The following is a 17,157-nucleotide window of genomic DNA, read 5'->3' as shown; positions in this document are numbered from 1 at the left end:
TCTTTTAACTAATCAACTGTCCTGTGTGTAGTGCCCAGTTACCTATTGGCTTCCTGACCTTTCTTTCCCCTTGTTTATTGCATAGATAATAACCATTTGGTTGTGGATAAATATTCATCACCAATTTAAGTTTACTGAGAAAAGGGGCTGGGCACAGTGGCTCACGCCTGTAATCCCAACAATTTGGGAGGCTGAGGCAAGAGGATCACTTGACCTCAGGAGTTCAAGACCTGCCTGGGCAACATAGTGAGACATCATGTCTAAAGAAAGTAGACAAAAAATTATCTGGGCATGGTAGTGTGCACCTGTAGTCCCAGCTACTTGGGAGGCTGAGGCAAGAGGATCACTTGAGCCTAGGAGGGCAAGGCTGCAGTGAGCCAAGATCTCACCACTGCACTCCAGCATGGGCGACAGAGACCTTGTCTCAAAAAACAAACAGAGAAGATTCTCATTGGACAATATAAACACATTCAAGTAGAAGGAAGAAGTAAAGGACCTATAAGAGACTAAGAAGAAAAAGTTGGAAACGCTGATGAAAAGATTGATAAGAGAATATGGCTCCCAAGAAGCCAAGGGAAAAGAAGCTTCAGTTAGCAAGGTCAAGCTTCAGCCAACAGAGTCAAATATACAACAGTCCCATAAAATAATGACCAAAGTGTTATTTCAATTTGGCAACTGATCACCAGTCCTAAGCTCTGGAATATCACAGTGTTAAATCTTCACAAACTCAACATAACCATTTATTCAATAGTTACCTAAAACAAATGTGTACATGGCAAAGTACTAAATATAAAGGGACAGAGACCATAGCTTTGAAAACTCTAGGATGTTAATGCACACATGCATGTGCACACAAGTATGATCTGAGGGGGTGTGGCACCACAGGGTTGAACAGAACAAGTGGCCATAAAGAGCCTGAAGCCAAAAGGCACCCTACGAGATTTTCTTCTAATAAGAAACTCCTGGTTGCACACAGTGGCTCAAGCCTGTAATCCCTGCACTTTGGGAGACCGAGGCGGGCAGATCACAAGATCAGGAGATCAAGACCATCCTGGCCAACATGGTGAAACCCTGTCTTTACTAAAAATACAAAAATTAGCTGGGTGTGGTGGCATGTGCCTGTGGTCCCAGCTACTTCGGGAGGCTGAGGCAGGAGAATCACTTGAACCCGGGAGGCAGAGGTTGCAGTGAGCCGAGATCGTGCCATTTGCACCCCAGCCTGGGGACAGAGCGAGACTCTGTCTCAAAAAAAAAAAAAAAAAAACTGCTGGCCGGGCGCAGTGGCTCATGCCTGTAATCCAGCACTTTGGGAGGCCGAGGTGGGCAGATCACAAGGTCAGGAGTTCAAGACCAGCCTGACCAACATGGTGAAACCCCATCTCTACTAAAAATACAAAAAAAAAAAAAAATTAGCCAGGCATGGTGGCATGCACCTGTAATCCCAGCTTCTCAGGAGGCTGACGCAGGAGAATCGTTTCAACCGGGAGGTGGAGATTACAGTGAGCCGAGATCATACCACTGCACTCCAGTCTGGGAGATGGAGTGAGACTCTGTCTAAAAAAATAAAAAAGAAATTCATTGAAAAAATACAATGTTATAATATATAAAAGATAACATGATTTGTAACTCAAAAATAAACTTAATAATTTAGAACCCCAAAAGAAATATGCAAGAGCTGACTTAAGCTGTCCACATTAAGAAAAAGGAGTAATCTCAAAGTGTGAGCCTGAATGTGCTTTGAAAATAGTTGTTCCTGATTTCCAGTTAAGTTCAGCAGATGCCCCCCCGACCCCGCTGAATTCCCAAGTGCAATAGAAGAATATTCTGGGGCTTCCCAAACTCCATGTCACAGTGTGTATATCACAGGCTTCATTTCAGGATAACAGATGGATGCAGATTTTAGGCAGGAAAAATTCTTTAAAAGATGAAAGTCTTATTCAATCGCATAGCTGATACATGATCCAATTTCCTTCTGGTGGACTGCAGCAAACTGCAGATGTTTCTTTACTCAAAATGTAACCCATTCTGGTTTCACTTACATTTTGTATGTCAACTGCTTTAAATTACTCACACATAAGTATCACCTTCAATCTGAGGACTTTAAGCCATAAATATGCTAGTAATAAAAAATATGCAGAAGCGAGAAAAATATTCCATATAGTGGTATAAATGCTATATATAGTAGGCCTGCCTCATCCAGTTTTGCTTTCCACCATTTCAGTTACTCACAGTCAACTGAGGTCTGAAATATTAAATGGAAAATTCCAGAAAGAAACAACCAGTTTTAAATTACATGCCATTCTGAGTATCACAATGAAATATTGACTGTCTCAAGCAGTCATGAGTCATGAATCACCCCACTGTCCAGCTTCTCCATGCTGTATATCCTACCTACCCATCTGTCACTTAAGAGCTGTCTCAGATATCAGATTGACAGATCACAATAAGAAAGCTGAGTATAGTACAGGGTATTTGAGAGACAGACAGACAAACAACATTCACTGGGAGGCCAAGGCGGGCAGATCATTTGAGGTCAAGAGTTCAAGACCAGCCTGGCCAACATGGTGAAACGCCGTCTCTACTAAAAATACAAAAATTAGCTGGGCGTAGTGACATGTGCCTGTAGTCCCAGCTACTCAGGAGGCTGAGGCAGGAGAATCGCTTGAAACCAGGAGGCAGGGGTTGCAGTGAGCCAAGATCATGCCACTGCACTCCACCCTGGGTGACAGGGTGAGACTCCATCTCAAAAAAACAAAAAGAGCTGTCTCAGGTAGCAGATTGACAGATCACAAAAAGAAAGGTGAGTATAGTACAAGGTATTTGAGAGACAGACAGACAAATCATATTCATGTAACTTTAATTACAGTACATTGTTATAACTGTTCTATTTTATGATTATTGTTGTTAATCTCTCACTATGCCTAATTTATAAATTAAACTTTATTATAGCAATATATGGATATGAAAAACAGTACACATAGGGTTTGTTACTATCCTCAGTTTCTGACTGAGGGTCTTCAAACTTATCTCTGTGGATAAGGAAGGACTACTGTGATACAATTATAATATTTATATTTTTTTAAGTGTGTGCATGTGAACATGGGAGGTTAAATTAAAAATATAATAAAGTTTATCATCATAGAAAGCCAGAGAAACATTTCTCTTTTGGAATATTTTTAATAGTGATGTTACTTTGCCTTTTCTATTTAAAAACTAGTGTCATTATAATATCCACTATTTGCTGATTTCTTGGGGGATTTTTTGTTTGTTTTTTGTTTTGTTTTGTTTTTGAGACAGGTCTCACTCTGTCACTCAAGCTAGAGTGTGCAAGGCTTCATCATGGCTCACTGCAGCCTTGACCTCCTGGGCTCAGGTGATCCTCCTGCTTCAGCCTCCCAAGTAGCTGGGACTAAAGGCGTGTGCCACCACGCACAACTAATTTATTATATTTTTTGTAGAGATGGGGTCTCGCTATGTTGCCTAGGCTGGTCTCCAACCCCTGGGTTCAAACAATCCTCCTACCTAGACCTTTCAAAGTGCTGGTGTTGCAGGTGTGAGCCACCACGCCCAGACCAATTATTGATTTCTATGTACCAGGTACTATGCTAGGTACAGCTCACAAAAGGGACTTAATCTTCATTTTAAAAAGGAGGCATTACCATTATTATTATCCACACTGCAAAAATGAGGAAGGCAGGGCTCAAGAAGGAATGACTTACTAGGGCTACTCAGTGTACATACATATACAATCTCCATATCTACAACAGTGCCTGAAGTGTAGTAGGTGGTCAATAAGTATTTCCTGAATAGATCTGATTGGATGAAGAACAGATATCATATTCTCATATAAGATTCCTATGCTGTATGCCTACTATCAAGAAAGTATGTACAAATCAGTCTATGGAACACACAAAAGAAGGCAGCTATCTGGAGGAAATAAAGGCTACACATGGCACCTACTAACTCTCAACACCAAGCAATAACAACATGTATACCATATTTGCAGCAGGTCCACAGTCATGTAAACCCAGGAAAACAGGACCTCTGTCTGGCCTATATTCCCAAGGCCTAGAGCAGTACCTGACACACAGCAAGTGCTAAATACATCTGTTGAATGAATATGCGAGTAAATGTCTCATTTTCTTTCTCCTTCACCTCTTTCGTCCTTGCTCAACACTGTTCTTTGCATCTTCTTGTCTTCTCCTCCCATTCCTCTTACCACCCTTTGCACTTATGTAAACATTGCTTTTGTCTCGCATTTACTGATGATGAGAGTTTAAAATAGTTATCCATCTATAATTAATAGAATGCAGAAATGATACTTCTTTAAATACCTTCTAAGTCATTCTGTTGTCACCAGCATATAAAGGCCCTGTCTGAATTTGTTACGAAAAATAATTAATTTAAATATATACTTGGCTCTTGAAATGCTTTCTATCATAAAGAATGCAATTTAAATGCTTATAAACTTAAGTTTCTCTTTGTAAAAATGAGTTGTAATACAGAGTTACTATATGACCCAGCAATTCCACTCCTAGGTATATACCCAAGAGAATGAAAATATATGTTCACACAGAAAAAGGTACATGAATGTTCACAGCAACATTATTCTTAACAGCCAAAAAAATTAGAAGAAACAACTAAAATGTTCAACTGACAAATTGATAACAAAATTTGGTGCATTCATATATCTGAAAAACATTTGTCAATAAAAAGGAGTGAAATACTGGTCTATGTTTAAATATGGATGAACCTTGAAATATGCTAAGTAAGCACAGCACTTCACAAGAAGCTACATATTATATGGTTCAATTTATATGAAAAATCCAGAACAGGCAATTATGTAGAAACAGAAAGTATATTGGTAACAGTTTCCAGGGGCTAGGGAAGATGGGGAATGAGGAGTGACAGCTAATGGGGATAGAGTTTCTTTGGGGGTGATAGAAATATTCTAAGATTAGATAGCAGTAATGGTTGTACAACTCTGAATATATTAAAAACCAGTGGATTCTTAAAAGGGTAAATTTTATGGCAGTGAATTATATCTTAAGAAAGCTGTTAAAAAATATAAATGGCATCTTTAAAGAAGGCATTCCCATAAAATTAAAATCAACCCTTTGAAATGACATCTTGAAAATGCAAAGCTTTGTTACAAACAGGAAATATAAATCATTTGTACATTTTAGCAATATCCCTTGAATCTGAGTTACTATATATAATTGTCATTGCTGAAGAGAAAATTAATTATTTAATACAAATATCAATTCCCTGAATAAGCCTACTCTAATCAACCTCTTTCTGGTAAGTCTACATAACATTCTAAAAGAGTTGTCACAATGATATTTGTCTTCACATACAAAGTTTCAGAAGTGGTTCCAATATGAAGTGGTTAATGACCACCTGTAGACTTCAGCCTCTCCAAACACTAGTCTGACACAACTTCCTGTAAGCTCAGTCATGTAATGAGCACTTACTAAAAATATATCATGTGTCCATCTCCTGAGTCCCAAAGATTTGGTGCCTACTCTTATGGAGCTAACTTGCTAGGGAGAGAAACAGGGAAGTAATCAAATCATCCAGACAAGATACAATGAAAACCATTTTATTTACAAAATCACAAAATCTCAGATAAGGAAAGGTCCTTAAAAAGTCAGCTAACTCTGGGCGTGGTGGCACGCGCCTGTAGTCCCAGCTACGTGGGAGGCTGAGGCAGGAGAATTGCCTGAACCCGGGATGCAGAGGTTGCAGTGAGCCGAGATCGCACCACTACACTCCAGCATGGTGACAGAGCAAGACTCCATCTCAAAAAAAAAAAAAAAAAAAAAGTTACTTAACTATTCCACAGAAGTACAGGTGCACTCCCACTGCAAGGCACATTCAGGAAACTAAGCAATGATACATGGTCTACAGCTCTCACATCAATATGAAACATTAAACATATGCCAGGCACAGTGACGCCTATAATCCCAGCACTCTGGGAGGCCAAGGCGGGAGGATCATTTGAGACCAGGGGTTTGAGACCAGCCTGGGCAACACAGTGAGACCCTGACTCTAAAAAATAAAATAAAAAATAATTAAATATAATGCATGTGTCCAGGTAAGGTAAAGATATTGCTTAGAAAAACCATCTCACATCCTCTTTTGAATGAAACATGGTGGTGGTTATTTATAACTCTGGTCTAATTTCTCTCTAGTCTTAACATTAGCTACAGATGAACAAGGTGAGAAAACTAACATTTAATACCGAGTACCATAAATTGTACTAGATACTTTACATGTGTTATCTCAATGAATCCCAAAAATATGCAGATAAAGTAAATATTGCTCCCATATTAAGGACAAAGAAAAAAACTCACAAAAGAAGCCAGGTGATGTGCTCACAATCAAGCTGCTAACTAGCCGCAGACCTAGAATTGAAAAGCATTTCTCTGACTCCAAAGCTCACTCTCTTTCTACTATTCTAGGCTGACTACTGTTAAGGCTAAATCTTCAATGATCCTACTTAACATTAAAATGTTCTAATGATTAAAGATGAAATGTTATTAACACTGCACATGTGTGAGTGATAACACTAAGCTGTTAGCTACAGAGCACCCCTCTGTTTCTTTTAGCCAGATTTAATGTTCAGATTATTTGGTTAAATTGGGATTAGTTTGTGCCAATATATATCCTGACAGAAGTACAAAGCACAATCTCAAAGATACAAATCCAAGCCATAACCTAAGGACTTAAAGTAGGAACAGTGTCTTTCTTTTTCTTTTCTTCTCTCTTTTTTTTTTTTTTTTTTTTGTTGTTGTTGTTGTTGGGGTTTGGCTCACCCAGGCTCACTCAGGCTCACCCAGGCTCACCCAGGCTGTGGTGCAGTGGCTTGAACATAGCTCACTCCAACCTCAAGCTCCTGGGCTCAAGCGATCCTCCTGCCTCAGCCTCCTTGGGTAGCTAGGACTATAGGTGCATGCCACCACACCTGGTTTAATTTTTTATTTTTGTAGAGACAAGGAGTGGGCGGCGGGGGCGGGGATTCTTGCTTTGCCCAGGCTGGTCTCCAACTCCTAGCTTCAAGAGATCCTCCCTCCTTGGTCTCCCAAAGTGCTGGGATTACAGGCATGAACCACCGAGCCACCATACCTGACCTGAGAGTTATCTTTCAATTGACATCTTGCTTCTGCATCCTTGTTTCATCCTCTCATCCCCTCTTACCGGTGGATATCACAAAACATCACACTCAGCCAGCCATGAATACTCACAGATTTCTAATTTCCATTAGAGCAGTCTGAGGAATGAAGGCAATACTGGGAAGAAAAGGCTGTGCACCCAAGAGAGTTTAAACTTGACAAACCTGGATGCCATCACTCTCACGCACTTTCCCTGTTCAGGATTATTCAGGATCTGCATTCTCTTTCTTTAACCTCCGAGGCTGGCCTTTTCCGGCCTGTGCTTCACTTTCTAAGCTGTCCCAAAAGCTAAGACTTCCTGTCCCTTGTTCCCTAATTCCCTCAACCCCGGGCCTGAGCTCCTTTTTAACTCACAGATCCAATAAGAAATATCTTTCCTTCTTTTTTCTTTTAAATATTGTTTTGTTTTTAGGGCACCATCCACATATCTGCTCCTGGTGATTCTGACACAAAGTTAACTGTACCACCTTTCCTGGATCAACTAGCTAAAAGGCTCAATTCAATGTTCTCACTGAGCCAGCTGAATCTTCCCCTTCAATTCTTAACTGAATGTCTCTTTTGTCTCTAATTAACACACTCAGCCCCTCCAGCAATGTCCTATCAATTTCATCATTTTCTTTTCTCACCAATAACTGCCTGGATGATCTCACCTTCAGCATAATTACATTTACAAAACATCTGTGTATCATAAGAGACACCTAGGAAAGCACTTTTCTAAGCCATTGTCTGTCTTCGGTGCAGAAACTAACATGGGAAAGAGTTCTGTCATCTGCAGTTTGGCCTGTTAATTTTGTAAAATTGCTGAATTATTGATTTCACTTCTGAGAAGTGCAAATTGTGATCATCATTTTAAATAATTTGTATACACCACTGACCTGAGCCAGCAGAACTAAAGCACCAGTAGATATGTCTATAAAGTCTCAAAATCTATACTGTCTGTTCATTAAGCCCTAAATGGCAACCTAATTCTTGGTTCTCAAATCAAGATAGATAATTATTTTTTAAAAGGCAAATCAAAACTATATCATATCTTATAATCATTTCCTATTAAGCAGATCTAATTTGAGTGGGACAAGCCCATGCTTTAACATCTAATAGAAGCATTACCATTTCAATAATTTCTCATTTTTAGGGAATATGATAATAACATTGACAAGAAACTGTTAAAGTTAAATCTTGTAAAAAGCTGAAATAATTCCAATTACAATGATCCTGCCAAGAGCAAGTGAAAAAAAAATGCTACATCTTCATAATATGTTATTATGCATTCTTTCCATTGGCCCACACAAAAATCCTGCAAGAAATATAAGGCAAATGCTATTTTCATTTTTGATGAAAATAGAGTATGGGGCCAATGGCTTGGACCCATAATACTGGTTAGTGGCAATGCCAACACTGGAACAAAGCTCTAACTCCTGATGATGTTCCCCCAGATTATCTAGTCTGAGAAGTTAGCCCAGAGAAGCCAGCGCAGTTGCACGTAAAACCTGCTGAAAGTAATACGAAACAGTATATTCATAGTCCCCATTCTCTGGCTCATTTACTATACAGATATTCAAAATACTCTTCCATCTCATGCTCTTAGTAAAATGCAAACTGGTTGATATTCAGTAGTTACTGAGCATCCACTATATGGTAAGAGCTAATTAGAACACAAATATCCAGGCAGGGATTACAGTGGCTCATGCCTGTAATCCCCGCACTTTGGGAGGCCGAGGTGGGCGGATCACCTGAGGTCAGGAGTTCGAGACCAGCCTGGCCAACCCCGTCTTTACTAAAAATATAAAAATTAGCCATGCATGGTGACACGTGCCTGTAATCCCAGCTACTCGGGAGGCTGAGGCAGGAGAATCGCTTGAACCTGGGAGGCAGAGCTTGCAGTGAGCCGAGGTCGTGCCATTGCACTTCAGCCTGGGCAACAAGAGCAAAACTCCGTGTCAAAAAAAAAAAAAAAAAGAACACAAATATCCTAGGCACCTGGATGTTTCTATTAAAATTGAAAGACTAATTGAAATACAGGCAAACCTCATTTTATTGTACTTTGCAGTTTTTTTTTTTTTTACAAATCGAAGGTTTTTTACAACACTGCATCGGGCAAGTCTATTGATACCACTTTTCCAAAAGCATGTGCTCATTTCCTGTCTCTGTCACATTTTGGTGATTCTCACAATATTACAATTTCTTCATTATTGCTACATCTTTATGATGACCTGTGACCAATGCTCTTTGACGTTACCACTGTAATTGTTTTGGGATGCCATGAACAGTGTCTATAAAAGCCAGTGAACCTAGTCAATAAATGTTGTGTGTGTTTTAACTGCTCCACCAACCAGGCATTCCTCCATCTCTGTTTTTCTTTTTCTGCCTCCCTATTCTCTGAGACACAACAATATTAAAATTAGGCCAACTAATAACCCTACAATGGCCTCCAAGTGTTCAAATGAAAGGAAGATTTGCATGTCTCTCACTTTATTTTTATTTTTATTCATTATATTATTATTTTTTTTTTGAGACAGGGTCTTGCTATGTTGACCAGGCTGGTCTCAATCTCCTGAGCTCAAGCAATCTGCCCACCTTGGCCTCCCAAAGTGCTGGGATTACAGGTGTAATATACCATGCCCAGCCATCCCTCACTTTAAAGATAAAATGATCAAACTTCATGAGGGAGGCACAAGAAAAGCCAAGACAGTCCGAAAACTAGGCCTCTGTTGTCAGTCAAATTATGAATGCAAAGGAAAAGTTCTTGAAGGAAATTAAAAGTGCTACTCCATTTCTCCTAGTTCCATGAGGTAGAAAAAAAAAATGCTACTTCAGTGAACACACAAATGATAAGAAAGCAAAACAGCCTTATTGCTGATATGCAGAAAGTCTGAGTGGTCTGTAGAGAAGATGAAACCAGCCACAATATTGCATTAAGCCAAAGCCTCATCCAGACCAAGGTCCTAACTTTCTTCAATTCTATGATTTCTATAAGAGAGGTGAAGAAGCTGCAGAAGAAAAGTTTGAAGTGAGCGGAGGTTGGTTCAAGAGGTGTAAGAAAAGAAGCCATCCCTACAATATAAATGAGCAAGGTGAAACAGCAAGTGCTAATGTAGACGCTGCAGCAAGCTCTCTAGAAGATCTAGCTAAGAGTATGGATGAAGGTGGCTACAATAAACAAGAGACTTTCAATGTGGATGAAGCAGACTTCTATTGGAAGAAGATGCCATGTAGGACTTTCATAGCTACAGAGGAGAAGTCAATGTTTGGCTTCAAAGCTTCAGGCTGACTCTCTTGTTAGGAGCCAAAGCAGCTGGTGACACTAAGTTGAAGCCAATGCTCCTTTACCATTCTGAAAATCCTAGACTCCTTAAGAAGCATGCTAAATCCACTCTTCCTGTGCACTAGAAATGGAACAAAGCCTGAATGACAGTACACTGTTTACTGAATATTTTAATCCGCTGTGTGGTTAGAGGCCTATTGCTCAGAAAAAAAAAAAAAAAAAGTTCATTTTACAATATTACTGCTCATTGACAATGTACCTGGTTACCCAAGAGCTATGATGGCGATGTATAAAAAGATTAATATTGTTTTCATGCCAACTAACACAACATCCATTCTGTAGCCCATGGATCAAGAAGTAATTTCAACTTTCTAATCTTATGATTTAAGAGATACATTTTGTAAGGCTATAGCTGCCATAGACAGCAATTCCTCTGATGGATCTCAGCAAAGTACATTGAAAACCTTCGGGAAAGGATTCACCATTCTAAATATCATTGAGAACATTGGTAATTCATGACAGGAGGTCAAAATATCATTAATAGAAGTCTGGAAAAAGTTGATTTTTAACCCTTATATATGACTTGAAGGGGTTCAAGACTTCAGTGGAGGAAGTAAGTGCAGATGTGATGGCAATAGCAAGAGAAGTGGCATTAGCAGTAGAGCCTAAAGATGTGACTGAATTGCTGCAATCTCATGATCAATCTTGAACGAATGAAGAGTTGCTTCTTACAGATGAGCAAAGAAATCAGTTTCTCCATGTGCAATTGACTCCTGGTGAAGATGCGGTGAACACTGCTAAAATGACAGCAAGCGATTTAGAATATTACATAAACTTACTTAATAAAAATCAGCATCAGGGTTTGAGAGGACTGACTGCAACTTTGAAAGAAGTTCTACTATGGGTGAATGCTATCAAACAGCATTTCATGGTATAGAGAAATCTTTTGTGCAAGAAGAGTCAATCAATGGGACAAAACCTGCTATCATTTTAAGAAATTGTCACAGGAACTCCAGCCTTCACCAGCCACCACCCTGATCAGTCAGTAGCCATGAACATCAAGGAAAGACCCTTAACTAACAAAAAAGATTATAACTCGCTGATGGCTCAGATGATTGTTAGCATTTTTCAGCAAAGAAGTGTCCTGTAATTAAGGTCTGCACATTTTTTAAACACAATGCTATTGCACATTTAATAGACTATGTATAGTGTAAACATAAGCTTTACATGCACTGGGAAACCAAAAAATTTACATGACTCACTGTATTGTGATATTCACTTTATTGCGGTGGTCTGCAACCAAACCTGCAATATCTCTGACATCTGCCGGTATAATAAACAGAGACACATAGGGAGAATGACATGTGACAGCAGAGGCAGAGATTGGAGTGATACATCTACAAGCCAAGAATACCCTGGATGGCTGGCAACCACGAGAAGCTAGAAAGGGCAAGGAAGGGTCCTCCCATAGAGAACTCAGACAGAGCATGGCACTGCTGGCACTTTTATTTCCAATTTCTAACCTCAAGAATTATAAGAGAATCACCAAGCGTGGTGGCTCATGCCTGTAATCCCAGCACTTTGGGAGTCCGAGGCGGGTGGATCACCTCAGGTCCGGAGTTAGAGACCAGCCTGGCCAACATGGTGAAACCCCATATGTACTAAAAATACAAAAATTTGCTGGGCGTGGTGGCGCACCTCTGTAATCCCAGCTGCTTGGGAGGCTGAGGCAGGAGAATCGCTTGAACCCAGGAGGCAGAGGTTGCAGTGAGCCGAGATCACGCCATTGCCCTCCAGCCTGGGTGACAAGAGTGAAACTCCATCTCAAAAAAAAAAAAAAAAAAAAAAAAAAAAAAAAATATATATATATATATATATATATATACATGAATAAATTTGTTGTTTTAAGCTAAGAAAAAAATCATTAATCTCTCTATATATAAAAATATATTAATGCAGACAGAGAAAATCAAATTTAAGATATTTTAGATATAGAATTGCAGGGCTAACAAAATGGATGGGGTGAAAAATGGGAAGAGTTAGAAGGATTCAGTGTTTCCCAATAAGATTTACCAGATGCATGAGGTTATAACTGAACAAAAAGGAATACAAAGAGAACAAGCTGGAGGAAAAGAAAAACTTATTTTTTGACAGATTGAGTCTGATGTTGCCTAAAGCACATCAGCATCAGGGTAGTTATATCCCCTGGGCTGGTAAAAATCGGGCCCAAAGTTTAGGAAAATGAGGTCAGGGTTGGAACCCTGGGAGGTGACGTTATCATACAAGGAAAGCAAACAGTGAAAGGGCTGAGAAGGTACCACCAACATTTAAGAGAAAGAAAGAAGAAATAAAATGAAAATGGAAGAGGAGCTCTGCAACATCACATACTGAGAAACAGGTACAGTGATGGAGCTGGAACTAGAAAAAAGTAATAGCCTTAGCAAAAGTCACCCCTAAGGAAAACCAGAATTGTTTTTAAAAACTCCCTCTTAGCTCATATGTCAACATCATTATTTCATGGTACACAGCTTTCCCAAATCTCCCGCAAACAGTGTGCCTCTAAAAAAGGCACCTCGATTATCTCTAAAGTTGACAATTTTTAAAGAGAATGTTCTTCCTTAAGTTTTCCATAACCAATTATAAAAAAATGAAAAATAAATTTTTTAAAAATGACCCTTTTTTTTAAACGGAGTTCCACTCTTGAGTACATTGTCTAGAGTACAATGGCACGATCTGGGCTCACCGCAACTTCCGCCTCCCAGGTTCAAGTGATTCTCCCGTCTCAGCCTTCCCTTCCCCAGTAGCTGGAATTACAGGCATGCGCCACCATGCCCGGCTAATTTTGTATTTTTAGTAGAAACGGGGGTTCTCCATGTTGGAAAATGACCTTTTTTTAAGACAGGGTCTCGCTCTGTGGCCCAGGCTGGAGTACAGTGGCGTGATCATGGCTCACTGCAGCGCGGACCTCCTGGGCTCAAGTGATCCTCTTGCCTCAGCCTTCCGAGTAGCTGGGACTACAGGTGCACACCACCACACCCAGCTAATTTTCTTTTTTTCTATAGGGACAGGTCTCACTGTGTTGTCCAGACCAGTCTTCAACTCCTGGCCTCAAATGATGCTCCCACCTCAGCCGCCCAAAGTGATGGGATTACAACCAACTTTTAAAACAGTTGAAGGCTGAGTGTGGTGGTTCATGCCTGTAATCTCAACACTTTGGGAGGCTGAGGTGGGAGGATGGCTTGAGGCTAGAAGTTGGAGACAAGCCAAGGAAGCATAGCAAGATCCTATCTCTACAAATAATTAATTTTTAATTTAAAAATGTTTTAAAATAAATAATAAAACAGTTGGAAGGCTAGTCTCAGAGTCTTTTGATTCTCTAGTATTACAGAGTAACTTTTTCATAGAAGGAAGAGAAAGTCTAATACAAGTTCCAAAACCATAATATGTAAATTGTTGTCACAACTGACTTTAATTTGCTTCCCCTTGCTCTCCACTCCCACCGTTTGGCCCCTATCTTTCATTCAGACATTTTAAGGAATAAGGAAATTAAATAAATGAAGAAGAGAAAATTCTCACAACAGCGAACTAAAACCAATTTACATAGCTCTCATTTGGAAAGGGATAATACACTAGACAGAATACTTATTTCTATTAGTGCCTTATCACTCCAGTCCACACACAGACACAGACCAGTTTTCCAAATTAAATCATCACTTTTCCTGTATACGAAAGAGAAAAACTGAACCTGGGTCTTTCATTTGGATAAGCTCCAGTATATATTTACACACAAGGGAACACTATTTGGCACGTCTTTCATAGAGCAGCAAGCAATATGGCTTTTTAGATTTGCATGAGGAAATATCATAGAAATTCCACTACTGATTGGCCGGGCGCGGTGGCTCACGCCTGTAATCCCAGCACTTTGGGAGGCCGAGGCGGGCGGATCACGAGGTCAGGAGATGGAGACCATCCTGGCTAACACGGTGAAACCCCGTCTCTACTAAAAATACAAAAAATCAGCCGGGCGTGGTGCCGGGCGCCCGTAGTCCCAGCTACTGGGGAGGCTGAGGCAGGAGAATGGCTTGAACCTGGGAGGCGGAGCTTGCAGTGAGCCGAGATGGCGCCACTGCACTCCAGCCTGGGCGACAGAGCGAGACTTCGTCTCAAAAAAACAAAAAAAAAAACCAAAACAACAAAAAAAGAAATTCCACCACTGATGACCATGCCTAACTTCCAAATAAAGGGATGTCATTCCGTTTCCACCTACTTTTTTCCAGAGTAAAGCCAAGATTCAGGGATAGTATTATTATTAATCTAGCAAGTTATATACAGGCAGCAGTTTTCCAATTTTTTTTTTACATGTTACCTGACATTGACAACCCTCCTAGAGATGGTTCCCCATTCTTAACAAAATAGAAGACACTCTCCAGTATACCCAGAGATGATCACCAAATCAGATAAACCAACATTTTAGAATGTCATATTTGGCATTTTAAAAATACCTTTAAAAATTAAGACTTTTTGAGGTAAGTGCAGTGGCATGTTCCTATAGTTTCAGCTCCACAGGAGGTAGAGGTGGGAGAACTGACTGAGGCCAGGAGTTTGAGGCGGTAGTGCACTATGATCTTGCCTCTGAATAGCCACTGCACTCCAGCCTGGGAAACAGAGCAAGACCCTGTCTCTAAAAATAAAATAAAATAAAAAATTAGGGGGCCGGGCACAGTGGTTCACGCCTGTAATCCCAGCACTTTGGGAGGCTGAGGCGGGTGGATCATATGAGGTCAGGAGTTCGAGACCAGCTTGACCAACATGGTGAAACCCCATCTCTACTAAAAAGACAAAAAATTATCTGGGCGTGGTGGTGCACACCTATAATCCCAGCTACTCAGGAGGCTAAGACAGGAGGATTGCTTGAACCCGGGAGGCGGAAGTTGCAGTCAGCCAAGATCACGCCATTGCACTCCAGCCTGGGCAGCAAGAGTGAAAGTCTGCTTCAAAAAAAATAAATAGATAAAATAAAAAATAAAAAAAATAGACATTTTACCATAGAATCTAAAAATTGGAACTGAAAATCTGTCATAATTGATTTTACATAAAATAATCTACAAAGTGTTACCAGTTTTTTTGTTTGTTTGTTTTTTGACACAGGGTCTTGCTCTGTTGTGCAGGCTGAAGTGGAGTGGCATGATCATGGTTCACTGCATCCTCAACCTCCAGATCTTCAATCGCTCTTCCCACCTCACCCTCCCAAGGAGCTGGGACTACAGGCACGCATCACTACACCAGCTAATTTTTTGTATACTTTGTAGAGATGGGGTTTCGTCATGTTGCCCAGGCTGGTCTCCAACTCGAACTCAAATGATCCATTTGCCTCAGCCTCCCAAAGCACTGGGATTACAGCTGTAAGCCATCACGCCCAGCCACTATTAGTCTTATCCTAGCTTTTTCCCACTATATTCCATGTAAAAATTAAATTAGAGGAATTATCCTCAAAATCCTAGAAAATTCAGGCTTATTTTTCCTCTCTTATGTGTTCCCATGTCTGCAAAAAGGAAAAAGGTTGGGACAACTGACAGATTATTAGCTACTATTACTATTATTCCACAATTCACATTCCTTACACACACTGTTCTATTTGTGTTCCACCAAAACACTTTCTTTAGTATTATAACTGGATTTTTGATAAAAGAATCAGAATACTGCAGATAAAAAGAATGGAGTATTCTGATTAACCAAATATTCTGGTTAAATGAATCCTAGAGGCCGGGTGCGGTGGCTCAAGCCTGTAATCACAGCACTTTGGGAGGCCGAGGAGGGTAGATTGCCTGAGGTCAGGAGTTTGAGACCAGCCTGACCAACATGGTGAAACCCCATCTCTACTAAAAATACAAAAAATTAGCTGGGCGTGATGATGGCCGCCTATAATCCCAGCTCCTTGGGAGGCTGAGGCAGGAGAATAGCTTGAATCCGGGAGGTGGAGGTTGCGGTGAGCTGAGATCGTGCGATTGCATTCCAACCTGGGCATCAAGAGCAAATGAATCCTAGAGAGAAGAATCTACCCTACCAGAAATATCCAGGCTGATGTTTGAATTCACCTAGCCAAAGACAAAATAATTAAAATAATTACATTTCCATTGACTGCCCTGTTATCATCCTGCCTCTTTTCCTTTGCTTCAAGGGCCATTAAGGTGAACAAATGTTATGTAAGTTGCTACGCTTATACAAAAGCCAGCCATTATAACTCAGAATATGGCAGCTGTAAAAGATGGAGCACAGGTCCTGTGCCTTCCAGATCCAGGTGCTCAGCAAGTGTTTTTATTATTTTCTACTTCTTTTTGAGACAGTCTCACTCTGTCAACCAGGCTGGAGCGCAATGGCGCGATCTCAGCTCACTGCAACCTCTGCCTCCTGGGTTCAAGCTATTCTCCTGCCTCAGCCTCCTGAGTAGCTGTGATTACAAGCATGCACAACCATGCCTGGCTAACTTTTTTGTATTTTTAGTAGAGACGGAGTTTCACCATGTTGGCCAGGCTGGTCTCGAATTCCTGACCTCAAGTGATCCACCCACCTCAGCCTCCCAAAGTGCTAGGATTACAGCCGTGAGCCACCACGCCTGGCCTCAGCATGTGATTTTAATTTTCAGGATGAAAGTCAGCAAGAAGCAGCCTGTGGTTGATGAGGCCTGAACCACTGGAGCTATACTATAAGGATTATCAGATG

At 40.4% G+C, this 17,157-nt stretch overlaps 1 protein-coding gene across 2 annotated transcripts in view, besides 1 other annotated feature; it reads right to left on the bottom strand.

Annotated features, from left to right (window-relative positions):
- Positions 1-17,157, bottom strand: part of ARHGAP42 (Rho GTPase activating protein 42) — a 306,654-nt gene that overhangs the window by 282,139 nt on the left and 7,358 nt on the right. The window lies entirely within an intron of this gene.
- Positions 12,819-13,319: an enhancer, noted in NCBI's record as "H3K27ac hESC enhancer chr11:100569215-100569715 (GRCh37/hg19 assembly coordinates)". NCBI's record gives its function as "activates a minimal SCP1, AML or CMV promoter by ChIP-STARR-seq in primed H9 embryonic stem cells {active_cell/tissue: H9 hESC(primed)}" and the evidence as "EXISTENCE:reporter gene assay evidence [ECO:0000049][PMID:30033119]".

The sequence above is a fragment of the Homo sapiens genome, chromosome 11, assembly GCF_000001405.40.
Source record: "Homo sapiens chromosome 11, GRCh38.p14 Primary Assembly".
NCBI lineage: Eukaryota > Metazoa > Chordata > Mammalia > Primates > Hominidae > Homo > Homo sapiens.
The sequence above is the reverse complement of the archived record's forward strand: the minus strand, read 5'-3'. Positions and strand labels throughout refer to the sequence as shown.